At 35.3% G+C, this 8,050-nt stretch overlaps 1 pseudogene; it reads right to left on the minus strand.

Moving 5' to 3' along the window:
• On the minus strand, positions 227 to 2,260 carry FARSBP1 (FARSB pseudogene 1; annotated as a pseudogene).

The raw sequence follows: 8,050 nt of genomic DNA on the forward strand, positions 1-8,050 counted from the left end.
TTATAAGAGATATTAGTCTATAGTTTTCTTGTCATTTTTTTCCACCTGGTTTTGGTATCAGGTTAATACTGGCCTCATAAAATAATCTGGGAAGTGCTCTCTGCTGCTTTTTGGAAGAGTTTGTGAAAAATTAGTATAAATTCTTCTGTAAATATTTGGCAGAATTCGCCAGTGAAGCCGTATGGGTTTGGGCTTTTCTTTGTGGATAGGTTTTTTGTTGTTGTTTTGTTTTTGACTTTACTAAACATGAAAGCACACATGAATGTTTTCTGTGGAGTAGGACTAAAGGACATCAGGGGAGGAGAAAGGGATACTTGGGAAGAGAATCACACAACAAGGACCTATCTTCACAAAAAGGGCTCAATATTGATTTCCAGGGAGGAACAGGGAATGGTCAGCTCAAATTTGGTGATAACATCAGGATGAAGGACTCCAAGCTTCCTGACATTTTGACTCCTGGCAAAGATCTCTGTGCATTGCCCAGGGAAGAAAGCGGTTCCTTTTGATGATTTGATCACATATCCCCCTTTATTTTCAACAGGAGGTACATTGCACAGCTGTGTAATTCCGTCCAGATGCATATGGATGACCTTAAACCCAGGATTCTTGTCGTAATAAACAGCAAAGAGATGCCCATAGTTTTTTGTACCTACATCTCTGCTAGAATCTTTTATTACAATGTTAGAGATTTCAAATAGTTTTAGAGGAAGGAGCATCTTCTGATTTGTTTCTATGGTCTTCAGAGCACCAAGAAGGGTAATGAATGCTGCGCGTAATTGAGCTGTTTTAGTTTTACTTATGTGGACTGCTTTTGTTGCAGAGATAATCCAAAACAAGTTTATCAGAAATATCCTCTTGGAGCAGAGAGCAAAGATGAGTGCTTCAGTGAATCCATGTCTACCATGGATTCAGCTACCATGTCATGTCTGATAAATTTTTTGAGCTTATTAAGAGGAAATTGATTAGCTGTGGTGTTTATGGGAGAGTCATCTGAATATTGTTATATCCATAAGCAATAGCTGCATCTTCTACAATATCACATGCATGGATAATGTCAGCTGTGGTCAGAGGGATTTTATTCTCAGTGTGATTCCCATTGCCGATGACTTTGGACTTCAAATACATCCTGGTCAGAAGCTAGGCAAGATTTTCTGGAGTTTCTCTGATTTCTTTTTTTTTTTTTTTTTGTTAACGAAATCAGCTTTCACTATATCTTTTTGAACAATTTTTAATTAAAAATATTTTTATAAAGATGGGATCTCACTATGTTGCCCAGGCTGGTCTTGAACCCCTGGACTCAAGCGATCTTCCCACCTCAGCTTCCCAAAGTGCTGGGATTACAGGTGTGAGCTACCATGCCCAGCCTCACTATCTCCTTTTGGTAAGCTAGTTTTGGAAAAGTATATGCTTTTCCATTAGGAAAATTACCTCAGTTGCTTCGATTGTAAATTGGTTCTCAATATAGTCACTGAAAATGGTGTCAAGATAATATCAAGAACTCTTTTTGCCTTAGTAAAGTCACTTCCTGTGCATTTGATAAATACCTTTCTAGTATTTAATTTTGGAGTCATCCTCATTGGTGATGGAAGGCATTGAAAGGACGACACCCTTGCTATCATAGATAACTGGGTACAGGGGTTTATTTCCAATGACATGTTAATAGTGTTTAAGGTGGTTGTCAGTCTTGTACATGTTCATCGGCTCACAGACTGTATACTCCTTGGCCTTATTTAGGGCTTGCACTTGATATCTAAAGGACACTTTGCACAGTACAAGTAAATGGGTGACAAAGTGTCCAATGGGTTCCAGTAGCAACCAATGCTCTTTTCCAGCAAATATCCTGATGCAATTTCTCCTGATGTTCAATGAAGCTGTCATATTGATCTTTAGTAAGCTTTAGATTTTGGAGAACTGCTGCTACTGTAAAGGGCATACCTTAACTATCTTTTCTGTGATAATCAATTTCTGGATTTTTCCATTAGGCATTACCTGTTTATATGCCAGAGCCTTTATCCTTTCTTTGAAGACCTGAAGTCCTCAAATCAATCCTTCCAGATACATGAAGTCATATCTATTGACAGAGATGTCAATTTTGCAAAGAACATTAGAAGTCCCTTCTGCCTTTACATTATCTTGTTCATTACTTATTTCCTTCTCAAAAGTAATGTCATCAACTTCCAGACCAAATTGAAAACATAGTTCATCAAATTCTTCATCAGTGTAGGCCTGGCCCAGGGTTTGGAAGAACAGAAGGTGCTTCTTTGTGGGTAGTTTTTTGATTACTGATTCAATCTCTTTACTTATTACAAGTCTATTTATATAATCTCTTTCTTCTTGAGTCAGTTTCAGTAGTTTGCATCTTTTAAAATATCTGTCCATCTCATCTAATTTATCTGATTTGTTGGCATACATTGTTCATAGTATTCCTTTATAGTCTTTTTTATTTCTGTTAGGTCATTTAATGTCCCTCTTTTGTTTTTGTTGTTATTAATTTGAGTCTTTTCTTTTTCCCTTGGCCAATCTAGCTTAAGTTTGCTATTTTTGTTGATCTTTTCAAGGAATTGGCTTTTGTTTTCATTGATTTTCTCTGTTGTTTTCCAATTCTCTGTTTCATTAACTTCTGCTCTAATCTTTGTTTCCTTCAATCTGCCTGCTTAAACTTACTTTGCTCTTCTTTTTCCAGTATCTTACATTGGAAAGTTAGGTTATCGATTTGGGATCTTCTTCTTCTTTTTTTTTTTTTTTTCTTAATTTAGGCACAGACTTGCCTTTGTTACAGAATTTCCTTAGGTTTTCTTGAATAGATGTGTTTTCATTTGCTGCTTGCTATCAGGCCCACTTCCAGGGGCTTCAAATTCTGTGTGTGTATACAATTTCAATAGTTTCACTAAGGAACAGGTCAGCTGAGCTCCTCATGTGGTCATGCCAGAAGTTGATCTCATGCTCCCTTTTTGTTAGAGGACTTTAGGGGAGATAGAGTGTTGACTTTGTGGACACTACCAGAGGTAGGACAGAGTCAAAGGAGAGTGTACTTGAAGGAAGGTAGGCAGTAGATGTGAAGACCCGGGGCACTGGACATGAAGGAGGGGTAAACATTTTCAGTGCAAATCTGAAGGTGGAATTTGGAATAATGGATGTAGGTTTAAGCTAAACATCAGGATGAACTTTTCAAAAACTGGAATTCTGTCAGTGCATAAAACTGTCCCATGTTTGGGCACCTGTATGCTCTCGGAGATCATCCACATTGTCAAGGACACTGTGGAAAAGATTTTCTCACTGGTGGTATGATGGATGATGTGACCTCATTTTCTTGCAAGCAAAAGTTTCAGAGATCATTGCATGACAGGGTCTCATAGATGGCTTTGGGGACAAGGGTTTGCATTTAGCAAGGATCACAGCACACCATGTTTTATGAGAAAGAGCACATCTCTTTCTAATAAGTATAAAACACATCCCCAGATATATACATCTGTGTGTACAATTTATTTTTTGCTATTTTATTTTCAAGTAAAGAAGCCAAGGTATCTTCCAAAAACAATTAGAGTTGATACAGTAAGATTTTTTTCCCTTGATACGTATTTTTAAAATATATTTTTCTTTTGAGAGAAGTACTATAGGAGCTTTTTGAAATTTGAGTGTTCCTAGGTGTGTTAGTATACTAGTGCTGCCATAACAAAATACTACAGGCTGGGTGGCTTAGAGAACAGAAATTTATTTCTCACAGTTCTGGAGTCTAAATGTCAAAAATCAAGATATCCATAGCTGTGGTTTCTTTTGAGGCCTCTCTCCTTGGCTTGCAGCTGGTCGTCTTCTCACTGTGTTCTCACAGGGTTGCCCCTTGGTCTGTATGTTGTCTGTGACTTAACCTCCTCCTTTTATGACACCAGTCACACTGGATTGGGGCCCACCCATCTGACCTCATTTTATCTTAATCACTTCTTTAAAGGTCTTTGTCTCAAAATATAGTTACATTTTGAGGTACTAAGGATGTGGACTTCAACAGATGAATTTTGGGGAGACACAATTCAGCTCTCAACACTAGCTTTTGCTTCCCCCTCCAATGCTGTTTCTGTTCATAGTTTTCCTTGAGTAGTGATCAGCTAGAGGGTACAGAAAACTCTGAATTTAGAGAAATTCATGCTGTCACTACTTAACTATTGCCTACCTTGGGTCATAATAGATTTGGCTTTTGATTGTCAGATTGCTGGCACCAGCAAAGTCCCATGCCTGGCAGCTCATGGTTATTTCTGCAGAGAAATTAGCTGGAAGGAACAGATGCAGGATGTCCTTCCAGAAATCATTGTCAGCCCAGTTGCACCCAAGTGAGTTGAGACACAGTAGCCTTGCAGATATAATAGCCTTTCAACAGATCTTCCAGGGAAAACAATAGCACATTCACGTTTGTATTAAAGATCAAGAACACCTCTGATTGCTTTTTTGCTTTTTTTTTTCTTGTGAAGCTAATTATGCTTCTGCAAATCTAACTGCTTTGTTGAGTCCTGCAACACATATTACCAGCTAATACATAATGCATCCTACTGAAGCCAAGTACGTGGATGATGTGGAGACCCTTATATCTATCCTACAATTTTACTGTAGACTCACTCCTTTGCCAGTTCATTTTATGAGGCAAAGTTTTGAATGAATAAAATGATATAACTGTATATATTCTTTCATAAGATATTCTCACATATTTTTTCATGAGAATCTTACATATTCTTTCACTCATGCTATCATAAGTGTGTTTTTTTCTCTCCTGTTCACAAAACACAGTTGTCATTTCAGCTAAAATGAGTCAACTCAAAATTTATTTTCTAATTACAAATTTAATTGTCAGAAAAGATAGAAAAGGACCAGGTGCAGTGGCTCATGCCTGTAATCCCAGCACTCTGGGAGGCCAAGGCAGGAGGATTGCTTGAGCCCAGAAGTTGAAGACCAGCATGAGCAACATAGCGAGATCCCATCTTTACAAATAATAAAAAAATTAATTATGTGTGGTGGTGTGTGCCTGGGGTCCCAGCTACATTGGGAGGCTGAGGTGGGAGGATCACTTGAGCTTGAGAGGTGGTGGCATGAGCTGAGATTGTGCCACTGCACTCACTCCAGCCTGGGTAACAGAGAAAGACCAATCTCAAAAAGGAAAAGAAAACACAGAAAAGCACAGCAGAAATAATAAAATCACACGTAACTGCATTCCCTCAAAATAACCACTGTAATTTTTTTCACATTTTTCCCATCTTTTTTTCTGTGCATGACTTTTTACGTCTCTCTATATTTATGAAATTATAATAACAAAATACTATTTTATTTTCTTTTTAAAAATTACACAACATGGCCAGGCGTGGTGGCTCATGCCTATAATTCCAGCTACTCGGGAGGCTGAGGTAGGAGAATTGCTTGAACCCAGGAGGCAGAGGTTGCAGTGAGCCCAGATCATGCCATTGCACTCCAGCCTGGGTGACAAGAGCGAAACTCCATATAAAAAAAAAAAAAGAAAAAAAATTACACAAAACTTTATTGTGGAAATTTTCTTGAATATTTTGTCATATAATTTTGATGGTGAGTGGTATTCTAGATTATAGAACATTCAGGTAAAGAATACTGAGGTTATTACTTTTGCCTATATATGTTTGAGCATATATCTGATAACTATGTTTGCTTAGTCTTCACTAATTTGAAATGATATATTTAGCATATCAAAAAATGCCTAGATGTAACGGGCTATTTATTGGTTTAACACTGGTTCACTGATTTGTCTCTTCTGGCATCAGCACTATTTTGCTGTAGTTAATAAAATATAAGTTCAGGTTAAACATCTTGCATTGTGAATAGGAAGTATTTTATTATCTGTTCTCCATATTACTGTTTTGGGTGAAATTTAATTTAGCAAACGTAGTATCTATATCAATATGATCCAACATCTTTCTGTCTTTCATCTATTTAATTTTTAAAAAACATTTTCTGGAACCTACATTATGGTATCACATAATAATGGTATTAGCAAGCTTCTTTATCTTATTCATACATTTAATGAAAATACTAATAATGTTTCTCTGTGAATTTTGTTGTTTACTCTAGGTTCTGGCAGATTCACTTGATCTGATTAAAGTTTTCTTTTCTACCTAGTTTACTAGTTTTTTGTAGTAAGACTATGTACTGAATTTGATTAAAAACTTTTAACTCTTATAGGGATCACACAGCTTTTTTGTCTTTAAATATATTTTGCTACATTAAGAGATTTCATATGGTATCATAGTTGCATTGCTAAGATAAACCCTTTTGGCATACTCGTGGGTTCCATTTGCAAAAATTTCACTTAGGATTTTTGCATTTTCAATCTTATAATATTCCATCTCTTTTTCCTACTTGCCCTCCCTCTTTGCTCTCCTGTTCTGATTTTGATTCAGGGGCACTGGGATAATCTGTTTTCCTAAAGTGAGCTAAAAAGTGTTTCATTTCACCCCTGTGTGTTTTGGAAGAGCTTAGTAACATTGGAATTTTCAGATATTTGAAAGTTTATTAAAACTTGTCCTTAAAAACTCCTGATAAGACCCTGTATCATTTTAAAAGATTACATCTTTGATACCTTTTTAATGTTTTTCACTGATCTTTCCTAGAAAATCATGTTTTGTATAAAACCTCAAATTTATTATAAATTATACCTATTAATCTCTTATAATTAAAAATAACCTGCCATTTCTTTGACTTTTCTTGTTTCAAATGTGTGTGTGAGTTTTCACTTTGTTGTTGTTCAGGCCTGTCAAAGGTTTGGTGTTAGGTTTTTCAAAGTTTTATTGATGATGTCTACATCTTTTGTTTTTTATTTTAACTTAAGTTTCTAATTTCCCCCTTTTCTATCTTAAAACAATCTTTTACTCCTAATTCAATAGCATCCTAAACTATATACTTCTTTTATTTTCAGCCTTTTCTTTTCTAATCTTTGCATTTGTAAATGTTTCTTTGAGCATCATCTTGGGCTTATCTCGCAATTTAGTAATGTAGCACTTGTAGGTCTTGATACCTGTGCTCTCAAAATCAGTGATTTCTAAGTACATACGCTTTCTATTCTTGTCTCTATTTTCATGGAAGATTTGGCGTTTTAGGCTTTTCTAGTGAGTGTAATTTTTCTGGCTTTTGTTTTTAATTTATTATACTGCTTACATAGAATATGGTCTCCATGATTTCAGTTGTTTGGAAAGTAATGAATTTTTTCTCTAAGGCTTAATGGAGGATAAGATTTTATCCATGTTTTCCTAGGTGTTTTCAAGGAATGTGGTTGCTCAATTGGGTAGTGAGTTTCATATACCTTTGTCTTATCCATACTGATTTTTTTTGGTTATTCAAATTATGTTATCCTTTTGTTTACTTGATCTCACTGTGTGAGAGAGTTATAATTGCATCCCACTATTTTTGTTTTTCTATTTCCTTCTGTATTTCTGTCAGTTTTTCATTTATTTTGGGAGCTGTGTTTAGTTCATGTATGTTTTCTTTTCCTTTTATATTTATGTCTACATGAATTATTACTTTTCTATTTGATTCTTTTTCCTCAGGTTATATTTTTCTGATATCAATATTTTTATACTTCCTTAATCTTTGTTAAGCATTTTCATATCTTTTCATTTATTATTTTCAATAACCTTTTAAATATTTCTTTCAAATAACATATAGTTTTAAAAGAAATTGATTTGAATACTCCTATATTTCAATGTGGGAATTTAACTTATATTTATAAAAACTAACGTGGTTAGTCTTTAGTCTTATTTATGATTAATATTTACTTATTTTTAAAATTTGTATTGAGATAATTGTGGAGTGGATTCACATGCAGTTGTAGGAAATAATACAGAGGGATCCCTTGTACTCGTTGCTCAGTTTCCCCCATTGATCAATTTTGCAAAACTATTGTATAATATTACAACCAGGGTATTGGCATTGATATTGTTTGCCCTTCCTTATCCAGTTTTACTCATACTTATTTGTGTATTTGTGCTGGAGCCATTTCAGGCTAATGACCTCCCAATTAATTTTTTTAACAACCTTTATCACTCCC

The sequence above is a fragment of the Homo sapiens genome, chromosome 10 (assembly GCF_000001405.40).
Source record: "Homo sapiens chromosome 10, GRCh38.p14 Primary Assembly".
In the NCBI taxonomy this organism is placed as follows: Eukaryota; Metazoa; Chordata; class Mammalia; order Primates; family Hominidae; genus Homo; species Homo sapiens.